This window comes from Homo sapiens, chromosome 2 (genome assembly GCF_000001405.40).
Source record: "Homo sapiens chromosome 2, GRCh38.p14 Primary Assembly".
NCBI lineage: Eukaryota > Metazoa > Chordata > Mammalia > Primates > Hominidae > Homo > Homo sapiens.
In genome coordinates, this window is record NC_000002.12 from 177239597 (window position 1) to 177266004 (window position 26408).

General features: G+C 43.8%; 1 protein-coding gene and 1 non-coding gene across 9 annotated transcripts in view, besides 4 other annotated features; both read right to left on the bottom strand.

Annotated features, from left to right (window-relative positions):
• Positions 1-25131, bottom strand: part of NFE2L2 (NFE2 like bZIP transcription factor 2) — a 34425-nt gene extending 9294 nt beyond the window's left edge. For 3 of the 8 annotated variants that reach the window (NM_001313904.1, NM_001145413.3, NM_001145412.3), the window contains exon 1: positions 23807-24535. Coding sequence is in view for 3 of the 8 variants with exons in the window: in NM_001313903.2 (NP_001300832.1) it covers positions 24936-24980 (45 nt within the window). In the remaining 5 variants the exon portion in view is untranslated. Of the gene's footprint in view, positions 1-23806; positions 24536-24935 lie in introns of those variants that run through there. The other 5 variants (NM_001313903.2, NM_001313902.2, NM_006164.5 and 2 more) reach the window with 3 other exon arrangements.
• On the bottom strand, positions 16349-16414 carry MIR3128 (microRNA 3128). Its single transcript, NR_036075.1, has one exon. It is a non-coding gene; the product is annotated as a microRNA 3128 (primary transcript).
• Positions 17405-17699: a silencer, noted in NCBI's record as "tiled region #4724; HepG2 Repressive non-DNase unmatched - State 2:TssF, and K562 Repressive DNase matched - State 5:Enh". NCBI's record gives its function as "represses a minimal TATA promoter and a strong SV40 promoter by Sharpr-MPRA in HepG2 and K562 cells {active_cell/tissue: HepG2 | K562}" and the evidence as "EXISTENCE:reporter gene assay evidence [ECO:0000049][PMID:27701403]".
• Positions 23105-24304: an enhancer, noted in NCBI's record as "MED14-independent group 3 enhancer chr2:178127429-178128628 (GRCh37/hg19 assembly coordinates)". NCBI's record gives its function as "activates an origin of replication core promoter dependent on BRD2, BRD4, P300/CBP and CDK7 cofactors, and independent of MED14, by STARR-seq in HCT116 cells {active_cell/tissue: HCT116}" and the evidence as "EXISTENCE:reporter gene assay evidence [ECO:0000049][PMID:35650434]".
• Positions 23985-24144: a silencer, noted in NCBI's record as "silent region_12144". NCBI's record gives its function as "represses an Ori minimal core promoter by ATAC-STARR-seq in GM12878 lymphoblastoid cells {active_cell/tissue: GM12878}" and the evidence as "EXISTENCE:reporter gene assay evidence [ECO:0000049][PMID:35858748]".
• Positions 24405-25274: a silencer, noted in NCBI's record as "silent region_12145". NCBI's record gives its function as "represses an Ori minimal core promoter by ATAC-STARR-seq in GM12878 lymphoblastoid cells {active_cell/tissue: GM12878}" and the evidence as "EXISTENCE:reporter gene assay evidence [ECO:0000049][PMID:35858748]".

The following is a 26408-nucleotide window of genomic DNA, read 5'->3' on the forward strand; positions in this document are numbered from 1 at the left end:
AGCCCAGGAGGTCGAGGCTGCAGTGAGCCAAGATCGTGCCACTGCACTCCAGCCTGGGTAACAAAGTGAGACCTTGTCTCAAAAAAAAGTTTATGTAATGTTTTTTCTTGCTATGAGAGGTCTCAAAACAAAACAAAACAAAACTGCTTCATAAAAGAAAAAAGCTAAATTTGAAGCAACTATTTTGGATTCCCAAAAACAGACATCTTGATCAAATTTAGAATGCAGCAACAATAGGTTTATTGTTATGGCCTTAATGTCATACTCTGTGCTACTCAGATTTTCACATCTGTTTCAGCAGGCAAAATCCTGCAGAGATTTGATACTGTATGAAACATTCAAAGCTTTATGTTAAAAAAAAAAAAAAAAAAACAGCAGAAGTTAACTGAAGACTCACTGTTGGGGACCACAAGCTCACTACTGTATTTTGTGCTAAGCTAATATGCACCAACCATTTCCTGTAAGGAGCCGTGTGACTGGGCACATGATTTATTCCACAAATGACCCAGCTCTCTGCAAGGCTCACACATCATCTAAGAGGAAATAATCGTCTGGGTGGAGCCCATAACAAACAAGAACATGACACTGGACAGGAGGAAAGGGAAGTGCCTAAGGAAGAACTAAAACTGCTCTTCTGCACAGAAATCCAGGGCTTTGAGGAAGTGCAAGTCCCCCATGGAGGAAGGCCACAGTACAAAGTGTTAGATAAGTAGGGTTTGGGTAGAGAGAGGAAAGCAGGTAGATGGGTTGCACAGCACTGCACAGATACTTTCTTACAACGGGTGAGAAAGCTTCCCAAGGGCCATGCGAGCACTGGCCAGGAGCCTTTGCATGGCATATGGAGCAAATGCCGTCTGCCACTTGGTGTCTGAATTTTTTTTGCTCTTGTCCTTTAGTGATTCCTGAGTGTGTTCCAAATTATGTTGCTAGCTTGGCTTAGACAAAAGAAGACAATTTGATAAGAAACACAAATGTTGGACAATTCATGTTAAATCACCATCTGGCCTAACAGAAATATTCATGTTTAAAAAATATATATCATCATTTGCCAACTGGGTAATCTGTTACACATTTTAGGGAAATCTGAAGTTGGACAATTAACTCATACCACTTTAAAACAAACATCTTTGTACCAGGATAAACAAAGAAGAAAGGACTTGAACACAGAATCCATATTAAATATGTCTTTTGCAAGTCAATTTTAGTGCCTTGAATAAACCAGCATCTATCATGCTTAGATGATCCAAAATATTGGAAAAGATAAAGCAAAGATAATACAATCCCTGTCCTAAATTAAAGCTATTCAGTAAACTGAGACAAAGTATTTGAAATGAAAAGTAATCTTTTAGACACTCAAATGTCTAATTAAGGCTTGCACCTCCCATTCCCCCGAGTCTCCCTTCCCTCTCCTACCCTCTATCTTGCCCTGAGAATGACAGGAAGGTGGTGGGAGATTTCCTTCTAAAAATAAATTTCATCAATAAACTGTTAAAAAAAATTAATTATACACACTACTAACTCTCAACAGAAAGCGAAACTGAGCCTTGCTCCAAAGAGAAAACTGATCCTTGATCTTTTTACTTTCATGTAGTATAAAGTTGGAATGTCTTAAGTTATTCCTTCTTAAAATCATGTATTTCCATTTAAAAAAAATCTTATTTTAATGTTATTCCCCTGAGATCCTTCCTTCATCCAAATCTTAGTTACCAGCATTCAGAGTCTAAGTTACACTTGATTATATTTTTCTTTCTTTCATTTCATTCTTCATATTATTCCCAGGTGATTATATTATTTACCTAAAAGCTAAATCTGGTTCAATGTTTTTTTCCATAGACACTGTCTAAGTATTTCTGAAGAAAACCAGGTGGAACATGAATCATATCCTACCATCTGGATGAATATAAACCAAATTAAGAGCTATATGAGGCTGCAAAAATATTTGAGGGCATGCTTGAATTTTGAGGAATTGATAAAATAACAGCCAGGCACGGTGGCTCACACCTGTAATCCCAGCTCTTTGGGAGGCTGAGGTGTGAGAATCACTTGAGCCCAGGAGTTTGAGACCAGCCTGGGCAACACAGGCCTCAACTCTACAAAAAAATTTAAAAATTAGCCAGACATGGTGAGACACTGCTGTAGTCCCAGCTACTTGGGAAACTGATGTGGGAGGATCACTTGAGCCCAGGAGATGAAGGTTGCAGTGAGCCATGATCATGTACTGCCCTCCAGCCCTGTCTTAAAACAAAACAAAAGCAAAAACAAAACAAAAACAACAGAGATCTCCTTCATTTACAAATCTCTGCCTTGCAGTCGTAATCCTTATTAGATAAAGCAAAATGACACCAAGCAGATGTGTTTTTAAAATACATCTTGCTGATGACTAATTACATTTCATAGATATGTATCTGCCTATTTACTTCTCTGGCTTCTCTCACACTGCATTACAAGAATATAGCAATACCAATTGTTTTCTCAGCAAGAATTCTAGGTCATTCTTTCTATTTCCCACATTCCAGTACTTTTGGTTTTATTAGACTGATTTGCTATCTTGATTGTGTTGCTACAGTAAGTGTAAAGTAGGTGATTAAAATACAGAAACACAGAATACTGGAGACAAAAGGGGCCTTACAGCCTATCGAGGCCAAGTGTAAATGTTGCCAGGTTTATTTCTATGTAACTACAGTGCCTTAAAAAAAATAACTGGCCTAGCAACATGTTGTATACATCAGCAGAGACATTTAAGAGGTAGCAACAGTTACCACGAATCCAAGTTTTCCTTTCCCTTATCTTGAATAACTAGAGACTTTTAACAGCATAAAAAAGCCCAAATACACACAAAGACGTATTATTCAACAAGTTAAAACCCTAGTTCACAAATTTACCATTCCCTGAGTTATAGAACCATTTTTCTGCCCTTTTATCTTTCCACTAGAAAGTGGTCCGGTTTCTTCAATCTGGCAGGTTACTATGTGCAGCCATTTTCATGGGCTGCTTCCTGTTCCCAAACAAGTTCCTCAGTCATGACTCAATCTAAGAAATATGATCCAGCCAATTTACTGGAACTCTCACCCATTATGCTTGTCTGTAAACTGCAGAGCATGATGCAAAGATAAAGCAAAACTGGAAAGTGAAGAAAGCAAGAATTTGGATTATTTTCTCAAGAGGCACATGCAGAGTTCGGTCAAAAAGATGTCAGAAAAAAAGTTAATTTCCAAAACAGCAGGTGATCCTACCTGCTACAAAAAGCACATGGTACTGAATTTTCCATGAGAGGTTCACATCTGAGTCCCCAAGGAGGTTTTGTTTTTTTTTTGTTTTTTTTTTGGTGGTTTGTGTTTGAGTAGGATACTGCTGCTAGGCTTCAAAGGACTTATGTAAGGGTTTCACTACTTTGCTGAGAGAATGGCTTGGTTTGACAAGCAAACATTAGGATAAATTTTTCTAATCTCTTCCCCATTTTTGAACAAGCCATGTATGTATTGAGTTCTAAATGCTGTCCTCCACAGAGAGGAACTTCTCACCTTTGGGATTAGGTCTTGTACTGCCCTTAGAATGATCCAACCCTCCCCACACCCGACCCGACCCCTGCCATATTACCAACAGAAACTTCAGGAACATTGGATCCAACTCCCTAACCTACTTTACCAAACCTCCATAGAAATTAACTGGGCATGGACTGACCAGGTGGCTCAGATCTCCACCTTGAGGTCAAACAGCTTTGCTGCCCATGCTGGTGTACCCTCATCCTCCAAGGAAGTCCCCCATGAGGGTGGGCACACACAATCCAGCACATTCACACCGTAAGGCTTCTACAGATACTTCTGCCACTTCTAAACTCCCCAAGTGATCCTTTACCCTCTCTTTTGATCCTGGATTTGTAAAGATAAATGTAAAGATAAAGTTCAATCCTTGGGGTCCTTTTCAGATTTTTTTTTTAAAAGAGATTAAGAGTCTTGCTCTGTTGCCCAGGCTGGAGTGCAGTGGCACCTTCCTAGCTCACTGCAGCTTCTAATTCCCAGGCTCAAGTGATCCTCCCACCTTGGCCTCCCAAGTAGCATGCATCACCATGCCTGGTTAATTTTTATTTTTTGTAGAGATGGTTCTTGCTATGTTACTCATGCTGGTCTCAAATTCTTGGCCCCAACTGATCCTCCTGCCTTGGTCTCCCAAAGTGCTGAGATTACAGGCATGAACCACTGTGCCTGGTCAATTTTCAGATGTAACTACCTACAAATAGCTAAAAGTAATAATAAGTCAGTATAGTCAGTCATCCAGGCTTGGGGGCTAAGTAAGTACTAAATGCCATTTACTGCTGCTAGCCGGAGACCTTGTGTGCTGGTGGTATGAATTTTAGATACATTTTATTAACAATATTATTATATGTATAAAACACTTAGCTTTAAAAAAAAAAAAAAAGATCCTTGCTGGGTGCGGTGGCTCACGCCTGTAATCCCAGCACTTTAGGAGGCTGAGGTAGGTGGATCACAGGATCAGGAGATTGAGACCATCCTGGCTAACACGGTGAAACCCCGTCTCTACTAAAAATACAAAAAAATTAGCCAGGCATGGTGGCGGGTGCCTGTAGTCCCAGCTACTCGGGAGGCTGAGGCAGGAGAATCGCTTGAACCCGGGGAGGCAGAGGTTGCAGTGAGCCAAGATCGCGCCATTGCACTCCAGCCTGGGTGACAAGAGCAAAACTCTGTCTCAAAAAAAAAAAAAAGTTAAAACTTGTAGAATGGTGGTGGTTATAAAGGTAGTAGTCAAGATCAACAAGATTAGTGTAAATACCCTAAGTGGATCACTAATCCATCTACCCATCAGATACCACCCCCTCAGATGCCAGGGATACAAAGATGAGTAAGACACAGTCTCTGATCTGAGTTATGAGACAAAGTGATGAGAAGCAAGTAGAAGCCCAGGCAGCATGGAGGAGGTGCCACTAAATCTGCACAGAAAGACCTCACAGAAGAGGTAACGACTGCCACAAAGTGTATAACTGGCCTACTGTGTGAATATCCTTCCAATAAACAAGGGTTAAATCTATTTTCCAAAGGCCCAGCCCAAGTGGGCATTTGAAAGCAAAGGAGGCTATGGAGATGGCAAGAACACACAAGAAGTAAATAATCTCGGCTGGGTGCGGTGGCACACGCCTGTAATCCCAGCACTTTGGGAGGCCGAGGCGGGCGGATCACGAGGTCAGGAGATGGAGACCATCCTGGCTAACGGTGAAACCCCATCTCTACTAAAAACACAAAAAATTAGCTGGGCGTGGTGGTGGGCGCCTGTGTCCCAGCTACTTGGGAGGCTGAGGCAGGAGAATGGCGTGAACCTGGGAGGTGGAGATTGCAGTAACCCAAGATCGTGCCACTGCACTCCAGCCAGAAGGACAGAGTGAGACTCTGTCTCAAAAAAAAAAAAAAAAAAAAAAAAGTAAATACATCTCCATTCTCTTTATACATCCTTCGTCTCCCTTCTTGGTGGTGGCAATGTTTTCCCTCATCTCCTCCCCAAGAGGCTCTGAGTCTCTAGCTCAAGGAAAATTCTCATACATAAAGAGACTTCTTCCTCGTATTTTGACTTTTCAGTTAGTATGACTCATCCATCTCAGCCAAGATGGGAATTACTGTTAATGCCACACTGTCACGGAACGCTACAACTGGAAGGGACCACAGGAATCACCCAGACAGCCCCTCTTGTTTTGCAAATAAGGGAACAGGTCTAAAGGGTGAGATCATTTGTGCAGGGTCAGAGGTCAAAGGATTATCAAACTACTAAGGGTCTACTTTTCTAATTTTACAACTCTTGCCAAGTTATTTGGCAGAGGGAAAAGATCTTTGCTTCACCTTAATTCTTTTTAAATTAGCATCTCTTGCTCTTGTCTGCTGGCCTCACAGGTACCTAACAGCTTCTATTACACCTGGTGTTTGCATACTTCATGGTTTACAGGAGTGTTCATGGGTGCTATCTCATTTGAGCCTCACTACAGTAGCATGAGGGAGTTGGGCCAGGTATTGTAGTCTTTTTTTTTTTTGAGACAGAGTCTCACTCTGTTGCCTAGGCTGGAGTGCAGTGGCACAATCTCAGCTCACTGCAACCTCCACCTCCTGGGTTGAAGTGATTCTCCTGCCTCAGCCTCCCGAGTAGTTGGGATTACAGGCACCTGCCACCATGCCCAGCTAATTTTTGTATTTTTAGTAGGGATGGGGTTTTGCCATGTTGGCCAAGCTGGTCTCGAACTCCTGACCTCAGATGATCTGCCTGCCTCAGCCTCCCAAAGTGCTGGGATTACAGGCATGAGCCACTGCGTCCAGCCTGTAATCTTCATTTCTAGATGAACACGTTGAGGCTTCGGGGATTAAGCAACCTGCCCCAAATCACATATTCACCAAGTAGCAGAGGCAGGACTCCAGTCCAGACCTTCTGACCTTGAGCCTGGGAAGCTTGTCCACTGCTCCTTGGTGTTCACACCACAACAGACACGTTCTGGAAACCACTTTAGCCCTGTGCCTTCTCCCAAGGCAGGAAACTAAGAGTTAAAGGTCTGCCCTCTGGACACTCAGACTTGCCTGCCCCATACGACTTAACAGGCAAATCAGGCCAACGTAACTTGCCTAAAGAGAGCTTAGCATTGAAATCAGGACAACTCCCTTGCATAGGGAGAGTTTTGCATTGAAATCAGTCTTCCCATAAAGCCAGTAATTACCCCATACTTTGTATGTCTTACAGGATTTTCTTACTATGGTCTGACTAAACTCATTTAGGGCATGAAAATGGCTTTTTAAAAATAGATACCAGGTGTACATGGTATAAGATTTAAAAGTTGCAAAAGTAATTTCCCAGTTACCCTCCTCCAAGGCAATCACTAGTATCAGGTTTTTTTTTGTTTTCTTAGGAAGCCATTAAATACACACAATCGCATATAAGCATAGTATCCCACACTCATTTAATATATTTTGGAGATGGTTCTACATCAGGGCACAGAGTTGTAAGTTGTCCCTTTTTCTTTTTTTTCTTTTTTTCTAAGATAGGGTCTTGTTCTGTTGCCCAGGCTGGAGTGCAGTGGCAGAATCACAGCTCACTGCAGCCTCAACCTCCTGGGCTCAAGCAATCTTCCCACCTCAGCCTCCTGAATAGCTGAGATTACAGGCATGTGCCACTATGCCTGGCTAATATTTTACTTTTTTTTTTTTTTTTTTGTACAGACAGGGTCTCACTATGTTGCCCAGGCTGGTCTCAAGCAATCCTCCGGCTTCAGCCTCCCAAGGTGCTGGGATTACAGGCGTGAGCCACTGCACCCAGACTTTGCCTCACTATTTTTAATGACTGGACATTATTTCATTACACAGATGTACTGAAACAGTATTACTTAATAACATAATTATTTAATCAGTCCCCCATCTGACTTTTGTTTCTTTTTGCCATTACAAATATTGCTATAATGAATATCCTTGTATATAAATCATTTCATAAATGTGTGAGGGTATCCCTAAGATAAATACTTAAAAGTGGAGTTGCTGGGTCAAAGAGTATATACTGCCAAATAGCCCTACATAGAGACTGTACCTTTTACACTCGCACCAGCAGTGTGAGCGTGCATTTCCCCATGCCTTTCCCAACTCATGTGTCCTTCACACCTTGTATCATATTGGCACAGGGTACCCACTCAATAAATACACATTAACTGCTTATACAAGGCCTCCTACATTAATTCCAGGATCATTTCAAAATTGGGCCCTTCCCACTATCTCTTAACAATAAAATTGAGGCCAAAGAAAGGAATAAAGGCCGGGCGCCGTGGCTCAAGCCTGTAATCCCAGCACTTTGGGAGGCCGAGGCAGGTGGATCGTAAGGTCAGGAGTTCAAGACCAGCCTGGCCAACATGGTGAAACCCTGTCTCTACTAAAAATACAAAAAATTAGCCGGGCGTGGTAGCGGGAGCCTATAATCTCAGCTACTCCAGAGGCTGAGGCAAGAGAATCGCTTGAACCCAGGAGGCGGAGGTTATGGTGACCCAAGATCGCTCCAAGCCGAGATCGTGCCATTGCACTCCAACCTGGGCAACAAGAGCAAAACTCTGCCCCACCCCGCAAAAAAAAAAAAAAAAAAGAAAAAAGAATAAACTTCCACTCCAGAAGTGTCAGCCAGCAAACAGCATTTCTTTAACCACTGGTGTGTGCCTAGCCATGCTCCAGCCAAGCTAATTTTCATTTGTGCCTTTGGAACTGGCAGCACATTTTGTAGGGGCAAGGAATGCAGAGGCTGGGGTACCCGCAGATAAGACCGAGGCTGGGCAAAGTCTCAGGAACACTCAAACGTGACAGGCAAAATCAGTAAGCTCAGCCTTTCTAATAGACAAGGCAGACTTGAAAAAGCAAGTCCAGCCAGGTTGACCCATCTACCGGCTCCTTAAAGATGTATCACTCAGGAACAGGTGTTTACTGGCCACTAAACTACATTTAGAACAACCAACTGACTAAGGAGAGCTGACAGTGATCGTGGAGACCGCAGTTCAAACCCCAGGTTTATAAATGAGGATCCTGAGGCCTGAGATGCTAAATGGGCAACTGGCCCCAGGTCTGACCTAACTGAGCAGAATCCAGGGGTGGGTGGTTGTCACCTGGTCAACCTAACACAAATTAGATTTCAAGCTAGACTTTCCTACTGCAATTTCTATCACTTAAAAATTCATTAAATATTAGGAATTACTTTGGAAACTGACCCTTAGAGAACTGTTGTGTGCTATTCAAGTCTGTAACCAAATTAATGGCCTATGAAATTGTTATGAGAAAATTGCCCAATGTCTGACCTGTACTCTGTTTCTTTTTTTTTTGAGACAGAGTTTCACTCTTGTTGCCCAGGCTGGAGTGCAATGGCGTGATCTCAGCTCACCGCAACCGCCGCCTCCCGGGTTCAAGCGATTCTCTTGCCTCAGCCTCCCAAGTAGCTTGGATTACAGGCATGCGCCACCATGCCTGGCCAATTTTGCATTTTTAGTAGAGACAGGGTTTCTCCATGTTGGTCAGGCTGGTCTCGATCTCCTCACCTTAGGTGATCCGCCTGCCTGGGCCTCCCAAAGTGCTGGCATTACAGGCATGAGCCACCGCCTCTGGCCTCTGTACTCTTTTTTTTATTTTTCAGAGGACTTTCCTTCTCCAACCCACAAGCTCTGAATATTGTGTGGTTCTGTAAGACTGTGCCTTTGCTCTCAATACTATAGGAATAAGAGCCTCCCAGTTCTCAGCCCTTTCAGGCAGATCATGTCCCCTGCCCAGCCTCCAGCATTACATTATCAAGCGCAAACCTGGCTCAAAATTAGCGTGGGCCCCTAAAAACTGCCAAAACAGGCATGATGGCTCACACCTGTTATCCCAGCACTTTGGGGGACCAAGGTAGGAGGACCACTTGAGCCCAGGAGTTTTGATATCAGCCTGGCCAACATGGAAGACGCAGTCTCTACAAAAGAGAAAAAAAAAAATAGCCAGGCGTGGTGGCGCGTACCTGTGGCCCCGGCTACTCAGAAGGTTGAGGCATGAGGATCCTGGAGCCCAGGAGGTTGAGGCTGCAGTGAACCATGTTTCTGCCACTATACTACAGCCTAGGCCACAGCAATACCCGGTCTCCATAAATAAATAAATAAATAAATAAATAAATAAGGCATTTTCTTCACTCCGGATCTGGTAGAAGTTCTCTGCAGCTCTGATGTCTGCTATGTTTCCAAGTAAAACCAGGATCCAAGGCAAAGGCTATAAAGCCACTGGGATCCAGTCCCCATCTGGGAGGAGGTCAGTCATTTTATTGTAGCCTCTGGCCTTGGTCTTATCACTTGCAAAATGTTGGAGCTGGATTAGGTGACCCCCAAGATCCTTTCCTCTAAATACCTCTGATTCTATGAAGTCCATAAGTCTGAAAATAATGATTTTTTTTAAATAGGCTACTTGCAGCTAAAGCAGCACTAATAGAAATATAATGCAATCCACATGGGTAATTTTAAATTTTTTAGTAGCCTAGCCTCACCAACAAAAAAATAAACAAGTGAATTTAATTTTAACAATATATTTATTTAACCCAATATATCCAAAATTATTTTAACATGCAACCAAAATAAGAAAATTATTAACGAGGTGACAAAACACAATACACACTACAAGAAATCTTACCCAGCATGGTAACACGAAATGTAGTCTTGCCAACACTACAAGGTATATTTAACAGAAAAATATTTTATACTATTTCTGTTTTAAAATTTAAATCAAAATTTAACGAAATTAAAAATTCAGTTCCTTGGTTGCATGAGCCAAATTTCAAGCATGAGGGACAGTGCAGTATAAACCTACAATGTGGTCCTCCACACTCCTTAGGGGTGACTTTGACGGAACCAAACTCTTCGGTTTTGCAAATTACCTCCTAAAGATACACTGAAATCAATGGGAAAATTCACCCTTCCAAAATACCTGAGACAGTATTTGTACTGTTAGCAATTATTTGTAAAAGCTACTCAATAACCTGAAAGAACTGGTGTGAGTCTGAATTACTAGGAAGGCTCATGATGGCTAAATGGATCATTTTGATGTTATTCAACAATGTTATGGTGCAGATGCTATTCAATTACCATGATTATTGCAAAGGTCATCTGAAGAATGGATAGAAGTGAGAGGCCTTAGGTGCTGGGAGGGTACTACCTGTTCCAACTAAGGATATAAATTAACCCGGAGTTCAGAAATTGTATTTCAACTGCTTTCACATGTATGAACCCACTAAATAATTATGTTGGGGTAGTGTTTACCTGGTAAGCTTTCATATTAAGATCTGAGAATGAAAGATCTCAGTGTCAAGATTCTAAGCCCAGATAAAGACAAGTATGATATAGTCTAAGTAGTAACATAATGGCCACCATTTATCTTGTACTTTCTATGTGCTCAACACTCTTCCAACCACTTGTCCCCATGACCTCCTTCATATGCACACCAATCCACCCAGGTGGGTAGTAGTATGATCATTACCATTTTGGAGTAAGGAAACAAAAACAGAGAGGTTAAGTACTTTTGCCTGAAGACATCGCCCCATCTGATAAATGGTGACAGTGAGATCCAACTCAGGTTTATCTTAAAGAACCAGAGTTCCTATCCACTCGAGGCTTCCTCAGGGAGGCTGCACAGTGCGATGTGCTTAGGAAGCCAGGGGGTGCCAGGTGGGGCCTCTGCTGCTACCTAGCTGCGTGGGTAACTGTGGCCTAGCCACCGAACCTCCCTGTGCTGTTCCTGCAATGGAAGGCCAAGATGATACCAGCCCTTACGGAAAAGTTTTCCATATGAAAAACAAAGGATGTAAATGCCCCTTAAAAATATCGGACAACCCAAGGATGTCCAAGGATGAGGTATTAGTACTATTAATAAATTCAGCTCCTGTTGCAAATGCCAAATGACCATGAGAAGCATCTACCTTTTAGGGTTCTGGGTCTAACCAGTAAATAAAAGAATAGAAGATGAGGCCATTACTTGTTTATGTATCAGCTGTGCATGGCAACAACAAAGGTGGTAAAAATGTAAAACGTTCGGCTGTCATCTCCCTCAAGGGTCTTAGATTTTCTTTCCCTTCACAGCTCTGGCCAAATTTAGTTGGGGTAGTTATTACAAAAGAAGTGTCTTAAAGCCTTTAAAGGGTTACGAAGATGGCAAAAGGACAAAGCCACCCAGGCCAGCTCAGTTCCTGTTTGGATTTAGCCTTCCACTGATGCATTCCCACTTTCTACAAACTCTCTCTGTCCCTAGACCTTGCCTATGGACACTGGGTTTCTAGGCCCAGAACCTCAGAGTAAGAAATGCTGCCACAAGTGAAGGGCTGAGTCTGGAAAGGAATCCTATGAGATGGTTTAACAATCCTCATAAGTACAAGGAATCCAGCAGACAGGCTGGAGGGTCTTCCAGAGGAGCCGGGGCAACGTGTGGGGCCTCTGCCATTCTAGGGCACACACCAGGCCTGCTATGGGGTTGGTTTTCTGTCTCAGAAGACCTCAGTCTCCACAACAACCAGGACCTCACACAAGGACAAGAAGACCAAGGAGAATGAGAGGTTTATAGCAAACAGCAAAAAAGGGCGTGAGTGTTTACACTGGAACTCGAGGGATTTTTGCCAGGCGTGGTGGCTCATGCCTGTAATCCCAGCACTTTGGGAGGCCGAGGTGGGCGGATCACGAGGTCAGGAGTTCGAGACCATCCTGGCTAACACGGTGAAACTCCGTCTCTACTAAAAATACAAAAAAATTAGCCAGGCGTGGTGGCCCGTGCCTGTAGTCCCAGCTACTCAGGAGGCTGAGGCAGAAGAATGGCGTGAACCCGGGAGGCGGAGCTTGCAGTGAGCCGAGATCACACCAGTCCAGCCTGGGCGACAGAGTGAGACTCTGTCTCAAAAAAAAAAAAAAAAAGGGATTTTTTTCAAGAAGAAATGGAATGATGAAAATGATCACAACCACCATTTGCTGAAGGTGTGCCATGTGCTATTTCCTGTGCCCAGTTCACTTTGTTAATTCTAGGAAGATGATGTCACAGTAACATCAATCTAAAGATGATGAAACGGAAACACACCCTATTGTGAAATCTAATGACATAACCTCTCTTTGCCTCAGTTCTTCACCTACAAAACAGGAAGAATACTCCTCACCTCACAGGGCGTAGTAAGGATTGCAAAGGGCAGAAGAGTTTGTCAGAGCACTTTGTACCGTGCCCAGTGTTGCAGAGAGTCCAACGGACTGCAGCTGTTGTTAACAGCATTGCTAGATGTCCACATCTGTCTGCTTGGGGCTCACAGGAAAAGCTCATAGGAGAGAAAAGAGAGGAAATTGTTTTTTCTTGTCTTGGGCAAATATTGCTAATCATTGTAATTGGAAGCAAGGATCAGACTGTTAGAATTTACTAAAAATAGTAAATCAATCTAAGAGAGGGGCAAAAAGAGAGAAACTCTCTCTGTGCCACCTTGAGGAAGAAATGAATCCATTCTTTAAGCAAAATGGCAACTTCTGGCTAGTTTTTCCTCCCCTTTCATCAGTGACCACACTGGTGGATGAGTATTTTTAAAGCACAGGAACAGCGGAGCATGCAAGCTTGAGCACAATCCACTTCCCTCCTTAAAAACGGAGGCTCTAAAAAGTTATTTTTACATGTCTAACAAGGATACAATTTAGAGTTACAATGACAGATCCTCAATCTGTGTGCTGATGTCAAACCAACTAAGCCGTCACAACAATGCTCAGACCTACACCTTGGCAGGAGCCCGCTCACCATCTCCCTGCCTCCAACCTGTCCATCTTCCAATTCACCTGCCACAGTAACTTCCTATCCACATCCAGTTTACCTGCCCTGCCCTTTCCAGAATCTTCTTCCATGGTTTCCAGATGCCCTGTACAAACTTGAAACAGTGCACATGAGCACTGAAGGCCCTCTATGGCAACCCCCAAGTTAACCTTGTCAGCCCCACTGGCCCAATAGTCTGTCATAGTCCAGCTCATATCTGCACCATTGCTTGGGCTTCCAGCTGAAGCCTGAACCAAACAAAATCTACCTGCTTAAAAGAAAAGTCTAGTTAAAATGGCAGTTCCTCCAGGATATCCTCTCTGAGCACCCCAGTTAGAAGTCACATTTTCTCATCTGCACTGTCACAGCATTGTCATGTATCACAGACTAGTTTATATTAAATATCAAGCTCCTAGAGGGCAGTTAATGGACTCACCCTCAAACTGACTGAGCAACTATTACGTAAGCACCAGGCATGGCGCTAGACATCAGAATTACACAAAAGATTAAAATACAGTCTTAGAGGAACTCATATCCTAAGCAGAGGAGACACAGAGGAGCAATTTGAAAAACAAATGTCCCTCAAGGGGGATACGTGCTGCATTATCTTGGAAGATTAAAACAGCTTCATGCCCTGAAAGATTCCTAGGGTGTGTAGATACCTAATAAATATTTGCGGAATGAGTACGTGTATATTATTTAGACTAACAATTCAGTATTTTCATTGTCTACCTAAGATATATGGGGTTAGAGTTCAAATTACTTAAGTAACAAAGATACCATGTTTTATATCATATATGTCCCAACTACTAGTCATAGAAAAATTATTTAACATCATTCCCATTAACAATACTTCTAAATTATTTCTTGGATATGCTACCGGAAATAAAGTACGATATCTTAAGAACTATTAACACTCACCCCTTCAAATAAACAATACAATAGATTGTAAGAGAACAAATGTGATAATATCTTCAAATATCCTTTAAAGAATTTTGCAATGTGGACAATATAACAATCAATCAACTGCTGATTAAGTGAATTTTCTTAGCGGATTCTAGTTACTTCCCTCAGGCTGATGGTCAGAAAAAGGATGAGAAGTGGGCAAACTTACTTTCCCCCCTTTACTCTCCTATCTCAGTATTCAGACTTCTTCAAAAAGTGCCCAGCAGAAAAGGTGGCTAAGCCCCAGAGAGATATGACATATATGATTTTAACTTCATCTCCTTGAAAATTAAAATAGTAACAATGTTTAGTTTATCCTTTTGTTACCAATTCCTTGCAGCTGTAGGTCCGAGAAATGGCCAACTTCAGCAGTAACAATTACCATATTAAATGTTGCTCTGTGTGAAGGGATCTGGACAAGTCACTCTACCTGCATAAATAAAATATACCCAGACTCTACCTTTGTGGCACTTTCATTATATTCGATGACCTCTGTCCCATCACCTGCTTCAGGTTAGGATAAAAGGTATAAACAAGCTGCCACCTGGTGAGATGGCAGGCTTCCCTACAAAAAACAAGAAAGTAATATTCTGCCATTTCCTAAGAACAAGCAGCAATGTCCTGGCTTCAAATGGTCTCTAGAAGTCCATGCACCACCGTGCTTCCACTGGGGCGGTTGTATCACCCAGGAGCATTAGGAATTGTATGGAGGTGGGGTGGGGCACTTTCTGCTTGTCACAGCGATCCGTGGAACAGGACTCTGCTCCAAAGAGAAGTCCAGCCCCATGCGTCAACAGCGCCCCCACTGGTCCACATGGAAGGAACTCCTTAAGTAGCGACACTGTCCTATCAATCTTTATAAAGGAGTCCCTCATTCTTTAGCAGCTGACAGAATGTCTGTAGGTCATTAGACAATGAAAAAAGAAAGAAGAGAGGGAAGGAGTAAAACAAGCAGAGAATAGGGATTATGGACAGTCAAAATCCCAGTTCTGCTACCTGCAAGCAGTGTTGTCCTGGCCAAATGGCTTAACCTCTTTGAAAATATTCATTACTTTTCCCTTTTCTTCCCCATAATCTTGCCAGTTCTGTCTGTATTCAGATGTCTCCTAACTCCAAAGTCTGGCTCTTTTCACACCATAGGAAGTGAGCTGGTAACATGAATGAAGATGAAAGACTAATTGTTTCCTCAGTCTCCATTACTGCACAATTTACAGCACAATTGTACTGTTATCAAGTGAACTTTGGAAACCTGTAGCACAGAGCAAGAGCCGCATACTCCCGGGGACCCAGACTTCCAAGAGTCCTGCAGAGGCAGAAGGGAGGGAGATGAATGAGCTTCTATCTAGGCGAGTCATGTCTACCCGCATCTCTCTGAGGAGGAAAGACTTTACTTCTCAGGATCAACGAGAAGAGATATGAGCTTCCCCCAACTTTTCTTAAGATACATTCCCCCTCCTTCCTGATCCTCCCACCAAGGGTGGCCCCTGGATCACAGTTTGGAAGTCACTGCCCTAAGGATTTCACCAAACAGGCAGTGTGGTAAAGAAGTTTCTAACAGAGGGTGAAGTGCTGTCTCTGGAGGATAAGATACAACCTGCACCCACAGGATGATTCTCATTCTTGGTTCTGGTCTCTGCTTGGGAACCAGCAGGAGAAGAACATGTGGGTTGGCGAGTGGGGGCACTGCAGCTGACACAAAGTAAACCAGCCCTGTTCCAGTCCACTAGGGTTGATTTTTCTTTTTTTCATTGAGACATGATCTTACTCTGTTGCCTGGGCTGGAGTACAGTGGCATGATTATGGCTCACTGCACCTTCAAACTCCTGGGCTCAAGCTATTCTTCCACCTTAGCCTCCCAAATAGCTACAATTGCAGGTGTGCACCACTGGATCCAGCTAATTTTTTTAATTTTTTGAGGAGACAGTGTCTCAATATGTTGCCCAGGCTCATCTCAAACTCCTGGTCTCTAGTGATCCTCCCACCTTGACTTCCCAAAGTGTTGGGATTACTGGTGTGAGCCACTGCACCTGGCCTACGGTTGTTTTTTCTATGTGTATTTTAATTATGTCTCATTGAGAATCATCAAGAATAAAAATAACTTGAAAAATTGGCAAGTTTTCCTATTGCAAGTAAAAAACTCTCATTTTTTAAGGAAAATGAGAGTTTTTTACTTGCCAGAGGAAGTCACTACCAGGAATTTTAATGGTTAAAAAAATTATTTTCTTTTTGCGAAATATTCATGGTTCTTCAACACTCTCTAGACACAACAGCAAGGCTCCCTGGCCCCAGTACTGCAAAACAAACCAAAAAAAAAGTACAGGTCCTTAGTCAGCCCTCAAACACCTCAAGAAGAGGTATATAATTCCATCATGCATCATACCTCTGTGCCTGTTACCTTCACAAAAGGCAACAAAGAACTATAGTCATTCTTCCCTCTATTCTAGTCCCTCAGGCAGGGAATAGGTTGGGTTTTACATCCATGTGCAGTATTATAATTTTATGCGGAAGCAGAGCAGACAAGAGATTGTCAGGTCTGAAATAAAGCAAAATTCTATATGCCTTAACAGTGGGCCCCCTAAATACACAGTCAATATTGTCCTCATATTAAGGTCATTTCTTTCACACAGACATTGAAGGTACTAATCTACTCTGAATGTCAGCTACATTCTTGCAAAAAAAAAAAAAAAAAAAAAGGAAAGGACATTGAATGAGAAAATGCAAGAAGTGTATGTTGCATAGAGCCTAAATCTTAACTGAAGTCCTTCTGTTTTGAGGTACTTGAATCACATTATGTACACCATTCAATACGAAACTCCTAAGTAAAATAACAGGATACCATTTTCAAAATCTTAAAGCAACAAACTACTGATGACTAGAATTAGAAAAGCATGCTTCCAGAAAGGTGACTAAATACACCCCCCCAACACAAAGGGGCAACGGTCAAAGACAAGACTGGAATTGGGCCTTGCGAGCTCTGCCTGGCAACCTTGGCTGTGGAGGCCACAGTGGACAGAGTTACCCACTCTCTTCTGGGCTTGTTCCCACCATCTGTGGGGTGGGTGTATAGGGCTGGGGCTAAGCCAGCTTCAGAAGCCCCCCAACCACCACCACACCATCAAGTCTCTCAAGTGGGACTGCTGTGCTGTGGCACGCACACCCACACACAAGTTGCCAACAGTTTGGAAGTTAGCCCCAGTTTCCAAATATGTCAACCCAAAAGCCATTCAGGTAAATATAAGTGGGAGCCACTACAAAGTGGGACTTTATCAGGCAGATACAGAGAACCAAAAAATGAAGTTGCTGAAAGCTGCTGTGGAGATTTAAGTCTTTTGTTTTTAACGGAGGAAGATAATGAGGCCCAGGAACACAGCTTCCTAGAGTAAGACAGTGTTCCGTCCTGGCCTCCAGGATGTTCAACACCTATCCCAAGCTTCTGAGCATTCTGTCCTCACTGGCTTCTCTCAGTGCTATTTCCAAATAATCTAGATTGCAAGTTATCACAGGCCACATTCCTGAAAAAACACAGAGCAATCCTGCTGACCCACTTCAGGGAAGCCCTTTCATAACAAAGTTACCCAAATCTTCTGGAGGGGTTTAATGAGCCCAGGTTATATATATTTAGTGAGTTTCAAACACTCGCCAGGCACTTTGAAACACAGTTCCTGAATGTAGGTGTTAACTGTAAGGCTGTGAAGGGCAATGATCAAAGACAAAAGCACTTGCTTTCATGATTTAAATAAGACATCCTAACCAGATTTTCTAAATCACTATATACTTCAATGGATACCAAGCACTGAGGTGGGTCCCCTAGGGCAGGGGTCCCCACCTGCTGGCTGCGGAGGGGTCAGTGGCCCATTAGGAACCAGGCCGCACAGCAGGAGGTGAGCAGTAGGCGAGCATTCCCGCCTGAGCTCCACCTCCTGTCAGATTAGCAGCAGCATTAGTTTATCAGAGAAGCCGGAACCCTGTTGTAAACTGAGTATGCAAGGGATGTAGGTTGCCAGCTCCTTAGGACAATCTAATGCCTGATGATCTGAGGTGGAACAGTTTCATCCTGAAACCATCCTCTACCTCCTTCTATGGAAAAACTGTCTTCCACAAAACTAGTCCCTGGTGCTAAAAAGGTTGTGGACTGCTGCCCTAGGGCACTGGCTCTCAAACCTGACTGCTCGTTAGAATCCCCTCAGAATCTTTAAAAAATAGTGATGCCTGGGCCCCACCCCCAGAGATTTTGATTTCATGAGGGATATGGCCTGGGCATTAGTTTTTTAAATACTGATGGTGAGTCTAATATACAACAGTTTGAGAACCACTGCTGTAAGAAACAAACAGAAACATAAAAAGTGGAAACAACTCAAATGATCATCAACTGGATAAATAAAATGTGGTATAGCCATACAATGGAATAGTATGCAGCCATAAAAAGGAATGACGCTATTGATATACGTTGCAACATTTTTAAACCTTGAAAACATATTGCTGTGAAAGAAGCCAGCAACAGAAGGATAAATACTGTATGATTCCATTTACATGCTATTCCATTTACATGATATGTCCAGAATAGGCAAATCCATAGGTACAGAAAATAACTGAGTAGTTACCAGGGGCCAGGAGAGTTGAGGGGAAATGGGAAGTGACTGCTAATGGATATGGGGTTTCTTTTGAGGGTGTTGAAAATTGATTACAGTGATGGTTGCATAACTCTATGAATAAACTACTAAATTCATAGGGTTGCATAACCCTGAATTAGATTAAATGGGTAAATTGTAAGGTACGTAAATTGTATCTTACTTTAAAATACATATATATCTATAAATTCTATCTACTATAGAGGAAAAAAAAACAGATACATAAGTAAGACAAGTATCAACAGAGATTTAAAATGCCATTAGAGAGGATCACCTAAGTAATACAGAAGGTAAACACTATAAACTCAGAGGAGGCATCAAAGCCTAAGTGATCCATATTTTTCTTTTCTTACTCATTTTTCTTCTCTGATTTGAAAAAGCAATAGAGTTCAGAGCTTGTCAGTGTACAGCTGATAATACAGGCCCTAAAGTCTCAGTTCTCACCTTATTTGGAATGGCTATTTAGCATTGTCTTAGAATTAAAAACAAATATTCAGAATACAGGCTGTTGATGGACTGTAATGACTCTCAAGAGTCAATTATCAACAGAGCCTTTGAAAGATGGACTTGGAGGTCAGGCGCAGTGGCTCACGCCTATAATCCCAGCACTTTCGGAGACCAAGGTGGGCACATCACCTGAGGTCGGGATCAGCCTGGCCAACATAGTGAAACTCCATCTCTACTAAAAATACAAAAATTAACCGGGCGTGGCGGCACACACTTGTAATCCCAGCTACTTGGGAGGCTGAGGCAGGAGAATCGCTTGAACTCGGGAGGTGGAGGGTGCAGTGAGCCCAGACTGTACCAATGCACTCCAGCCTGGGTGACCGACTGAGACTCTGTCTCAAAAAAAAAAGACGAACTTGGTGCTGTAAGTCCTACTTATGCCCTGGACTTGTCTTTACTAGTACCAGCAGTTTGGACCAAATAAACTTACATGCTCAAATACACAAAAAGACTTTTAAATACCAGGATTTGCAACACACAGGTATTATAGTACATATGCCGTAAAAACGAATGATTAAACGTGCCTCCCCTACTCAAAGTTCTTAATATACTTAATAATCATAGTTAAGAGTTATTTATTATGGCAGAAACTGACACACAGAAGGCTCAAACTTTAGGTAGCACAGGATTTTGTTTAACAGTCTTGTTTTCATGTCTAGGGTATAGTCTGGTACAAGAAATCCATCTAGGCCAGGCGCGGTGGCTTAAGCTTGTAATCCCAGCACTTTGGGAGGCTGAGGCAGGCGGATCATGAGGTCAGGAGATCGAGATCATCCTGGCTAACACAGTGAAACCCCATCTCTACTAAAAATACAAAAAATTAGCCAGGCGTGGTGGCGGGTGCCTGTAGTACCAGCTACTCGGGAGGCTGGGGCAGGAGAATGGCGTGAACCCGGGAGGTGGAGCTTGCAGTGAGCGGAGATCATGCCACTGCACTCCAGCCTGGGCGACAGAGCAAGACTGCGTCTCAAAAAAAAAAGCCATCTGTATTTCTCCAAGTTTCTGAATGTTAATATTTAATATTATACACTTGAACATATTTTTGCTTTCATTTACAGAAAACATACCATTAGCAATTGAATAAATCTTGGCCTATACCTTAAAGCCCTTTTAATAAATGTTTGTTGGCGCTTATTTAAAAGCAGGTAGCAGTGAAATTTCAATAGCTCCTAGAAATTAGATGATCAAAGAATAAACTCTATTCTCTATTTGTGGCAAACTTATAATGAATATACATTTCTACAGTCAGAGATGAAGACAAGCAGGTTAAAAATGACATCTAGTAAACTTGTCCTCCTCTACCCTGCTGTGCAACATATTTCAGTCAACTTTCAGAAAGTGGCTGGACCAAGCATTTAAATGCCCTGAGGTTGACCTGGACCAACTTTTAGGCAAATCATCCATCAGATCCTATAAGTCCTGCAGCACACTTAATTCAGACAAATAAGACAATAATTCCAAAAACAACTTAACAATAAGGACTAAGAAAGTGTTTAATTTTGAGATGTACTATTCTCAAAGACCCAAGTAAGCTTCAACTAGATAAGAGTTGAGCCCTTATGCTTGCTATAGTTCAGAAGTGCCAAAACATGAGATTAGGGTTGAATTTGCGCCATCAGCTTTCTGCTAGCTGTTTTCAACTCAAATTTTCCCCATTCTGCTCTCTTTCCTTCAGCCTGGTTTAACCCTGTCTGTCACACTCTTCACCATATTCTTACTACCAAACTTATTTTTGAGCACTACTTCAAAACAAAAAGAGCCAATGGAACAGAAGAAATGTACCAAGTAGCAAGGCAAACAAAGGCAAAGACTCCAGTAGCTAAGAGATTTAATTAAGAAAAAAGGCAGTTTCTGAAAAATGTGAGGCAGAATCTTGGACATTGCCAAACATCAGAAATTTTTAAAACTATTATTATATTAAGAAACAGACTGGCGCAGTGGCTCACACCTGTAATCCCAACACTTTGGGAGGCCGAGGCGGGTGGATCACCTGAGGTCAGGAGTTCGAGACCAGCCCAGCCTGGCCAACATGGTAAAACCCCATCTCTACTAAAAATACAAAAATTAGCCGGGCAGTGGGTGCCTATAATCCCAGCTACTCGGGAGGCTGAAGCAGGAGAATCACTTGAACCCGGGAAGTAGAGGCTGCAGTGAGCCAAGATCAGGCCACTGCATTCCAGCCTGGGCAACAGAACAAGACTTCATCTCAAAAAAAAAAAAAAACAAAAAACAAAAAACAGTCCTGCCTTTCTAAATTGAATCCACCGAGGCCTCTGTGTCTTCCTTAAAAGGACCACAGTGGGTACCATTGATGGATTGTATTCACTCTCCCTGTATTTAACAAGGTCCACCTCCCCACGTCACATACAGTGATTAAATGTCTTGCTAAATGGAAAAGCTGCAGACATTAATCTTTTATATTCCGGCCTCTCCTTCCCCCAGAATAGGCAAATCTCAACTTACCCACTTTTTAAAGTGTGAGCTTTTCTTCCTATTTAGAGTTTAAGGAGTTTTGGTACAGTCTGGAAGTGGTGATTAGAAGCCCCCAGGAGTCAAACCTGTTTGAATGCTACCTTGGCCACTCAATAGTATGGTCACCTTAGCAGGTCCTGGCCTTTCTCTATGCCTCTCTCCTAACCTTTCCTAACCTAATGCCTGATCTAACTATTATGCCTGGTTTTCCCAACCTGGAAACCAGGGATAATAATATTTCCCGTGAGGTTACTGTAAAATTATGCATGTGAAGCAATTATGTCTGGCACCCAGGGACGTGCCCAGTAACTTATCTATTATTATCTTAGTGCCAAATTCTTCCTGCATACTGAAAAGTTAACCCAGGCTTGAGGAACAGTTAAGGAGGAAATATTGACACAAAACCCCCTTTAAATGTCTTCAGTCAGGACAGAGGAAATTCCCAGAAAAAAAAATGTACTTGTTGGGTTCCTTTTTTTCATGCAGCTTTGTTAAACATGATTTATCCTCAATAAAAACAAATATTAAGAAAAATGATGCATTTGGCTTTCAACTTTTCCTGGTAATCCTAAAGACAGAGTCAGTTTTCCCCCCAACATTGCTTATAAGAACCCAGGGCAAGAAAGAAAGATTTCAAAATGGCCCAAGTTATTTTTAATGCGTAAAAGACTGATGTGAGTTATGCATTTATCCTCCTACATGCTGCTTCCACAACCTCTCAAGAGATTTTTCACATATCTAAAAAGTCAAGTTGTTCTTTGCTTAACATTCATTCAGGAGATGAGAGGCCTGTCCTATTTTTCTTTTGTTTGACTTAAAAATAATCTCATCGGTCTATTTCAATATCAACTTCATCCCTCATCTAGGAAAGTGCTTTATCTCTCCAAGACACCCTTGAAAAGAGTAATGGATGGTTCCTTCCACCTAATGGAGATACTGAATCTAAGGCTCTCCTTACTGCCCTGTTTATCAACACATCCTCTGCACAGAAGGTGAAAAACTATATCCTACTACCACTTCACACCTGGAGAGTTTTTTTTGACAAAAGGTCAAGAAAATGTTTGACTCTGTTCAAATCTTTATGGATGACAACAATCTAATATGAATCATAAACAAAATCAATTCTAAATTTTCTTGTTCTTTTTCTGTTTTCAAATATGCAAATCGATGTCTGATTACAAAGGTAGAAAAGCAGTTATTTTTATCAAACGTAATTGGAAAATACACACTTAATGCGGTACATATGTTTCACGCATTTTTGTATAAGGAATGTTATATTACACAGCAAAGAAAGAAAAATTCAAAAATAATAGAGGGCTGTAGACAATTCCGGAAATCAGAAAAACTAAAGTTCATTTTTATCATATATCCTTCAGTCAAACAAGCATTCCTATAGATAACTCTTGAACAGCAGCTATTAAATAAATCGGAAGGTACAATTTAATTCTTCACTAGTTGGAACCAGAAGAATACAATCCCAATGAAGACTGGGGAAAAGTTCAAGACAAACAACTTTAAAGGGGGAAAAAAGCACAATTAATACATTGTCCATAACTTAAAACTTTACAATAGATCTTTGGAATTAACCGAAAACTTTACATTTAACAGCATAAACGTATTTACTGTACATCAAGTACACATTTCCTTGAATTCCAATTTTTTTCCTAAAATTCATTTACAAAAGAAGTTAGAAATATAAATATCTACTTTTAAAGTTTCTACAAAGGATGAGCAGAAACTTCTTTTCACTTTTATAACAATTCACAGAAATTAGCAAGTGTTTTGAAACGCAAGCGTTCCACTCTCTGCCCCTGCAGAAGAGGGGGAACATGTTAAGAAATTGAGGCAAATTCTCAACTGAAAAGGAAACATATATAAAGTACTCAGGGGAGAAATAATAGCTGAAAGCAAAAAATTACTAACAGACTAAAAGCAACAGAAATTCTAATCTACACTCGCAACTCTTACCCTTGACAGCACAGAAGAGAATATCCCGTCTTACACATTTTGGAATTGCAATTCTGAAACGCTAAATCCAAAGACAAAGCCGCTCTGGGGAAAATAGCAATTGCGCAACAGATCAACAGCTCCAACCTGTCCCTTGGCCCTGGCGCGGCGAGGTTTGCACGCTATAAAGCAGGAAAGGGCCAACCGAGGGCTGCTGTGACGGCCAACCGAGCGCTGTCACGGAAGCCAAGGCCACGCGCGCGGTGAGCGCCACCAGGGGGCACCGCGTCCGAACTAGAAGCCCCGGGTGCCGCCGACTCCGGCCTCAGAGTCCACTGCCCTCGCCCGCACTTTCCCGCGGCGTTACGAGGGGCCAACTCCGGGTGCCCGAGCCCGAACCCCTCCCCGGCCGAGAAAGTGCGCGGGGCCCGGCTCAGCCGCCACACGTCGGGGCTTCTGAGCCCGCTGGGCACTTAAGGCGCTCCTCCCTCGTCCCGGGGCTGGGCTTTCAAGAGAGCTCAAGGCTGCCAGAGAGTGATCCGAGAGATGGATGACTTCGCAAAGCCGCGCCCACAGACGGCCCAGCGGGGTGAGCGCGTCGCAGCCCGCACTCAAGGAGGTCTTGGGGCGCGGCGAAGGGGCTCCGGGTCCCAGCCCGAAGGCGACCTCAGTTCCCCCGAGAGCGGCCCCGTGACTAGGCACATTTTTGCCGGCACCGAGGCGGGGGAGCCGCGCAGCCCCGGAAGGGCCGGGCCGCGCCGGCTCAGACGGCCAGCGTCCGCCCCCTCTTGCCCCGCCGCCCACCGGGCCGCTCAAACTTAGGGGCTCCGGAGTCCCAGCTCTCGGGCCCGGGGACGCGGCTGGATTCTCCCCCAAGGCCCACGCGAGCGGGCTCAGTCCCCAGACCTTCCCGCAACTTCCCACCCGTTCGCCCTCGGGCTCGTGGTCGGTCGGATCACCCGGCCGCGTCCCCGCTGCCCCTCCCCGCCCTGCCCCGGCGCAAGCGCGGCGGCTCTACCCAGCGCCGCGGTCCTGGCTCTGGCCAGACGTGGGGGAAGCCGGTTGCGGCTGTCCCTCCCGGGCCGCGGTTCCCTAGCTCCCCCGCCCCCGTCCCGGCACCACCGCAGGGCCCAGAGGGCCGAGGCAGCACCTGCTGGGACGGGAGTCCCGGCGGCGGCAGCTCCAAGTCCATCATGATGAGCTGTGGACCGTGTGTTGGGGCTCCCCGACGGCGGCCCTGTTCCGGCTGCCGAGGCGCGGCGCGGACAGGGCGGCTCTGGTGGCGGCGGCGGCGGCGGTGGCGGCTGCGTCGGCGGCTCCTCCGGGCTCCCCGGCACTCGGTAATCGGCTACACGCCGGCGGGCCCCTGCCCCGCTCCGCCTCCCGCCCCACAAGGGCGGGGCAAGAGTCCGGGCCCTTCCTTCCCCCGCCGGCCGCGCGGGCTGAGCTTCCGAAAATCCCCCACCCGCGCCGGGGCTGACGCAAGAAGCTCGCGGTCCGGGGGCGGGAAGGGACTGCCAGCTGGGGTCCCAGCAGGCGGGGGACCTAGAGGAGGTCTCCGTTAGCTCCCCGGTGCCGGCGTTCAGTTTGCCCTCCCCCGCAAATAAGGGCAGCGCTCTCGCCCGCGAGATAAAGAGTTGTTTGCGAAGGTCGCTGGAGTTCGGACGCTTTGAAACAGTTTAAACAGTTGGAACAAACACACCCGGAGCCCCGGAAAGGCGTTGGTGTAGGAGCTGCGCCTCCCTGATTTGGAGTTGCAGAACCTTGCCCTGCTTTTATCTCACTTTACCGCCCGAGAATGGCGCCAGCCGGGGTGGGGGGGGCTAAAGATTTGGACCCAGACCGTGCCACTGCCAACTGCCCTCCCGCCCTTGCTCCCTTCCCGGGCTGGGGCCAGTGGGCCCTGCCTAGGGGAGATGTGGACAGCTCCGGCAGCTCGTGTTCGCAGTCACCCTGAACGCCCTCCTCTGAACTCCCACGTGTCTCCATTCTCCTAAGCTCAGGTCGTCAAAGGCAAACGGAGAAGCCCCTTTAGGTCGGAGAGTGGTCAGTATTGCCCACCCAGAGCTGGGAGAAAAACGGGAACCCCAAGAGAACCTCTTCCCACCAAAGCGCAGCCACCACGCCACAGATGGCGCCCTTCAACAGTGTGTAATACCACAACATGCTGTAATCGTTTACTCTTTACAAATTTCTTTTTCACGTACTCACAAAATAGTACAAATTAAAAAAAGTTACAAAAACGTTTGTATAGTATTGGCTCATTTTATAAAAACGTGCCTAGAAAAAAATTGAAGGTTACCAATATATTAAATGCTGTGGAATCAACGATTTTTATGTTTCTCCTTGTTACTTCCAAGTATGCTTTAAATCTGCAGTGCGTATGTTTTATGTCTTACATTAAAAACAATTATTTAAAAATTAATCATTGCCCAGAGAAGACTTCAAGTATTTGAAACGAGGAATATTGTGAACTCTTATAAGGGTTCAAAGAGGATAGATAAATGGTTTAGTTTTGTTTTTTTCTTCCTCTTCTGCATTTACAATCTTTCTAACTCTATACAAGACTGGTTTTCAGTTTCTAGCTTCCTGGAATTATTCAAAACCAGGTGAAGTAGATAAT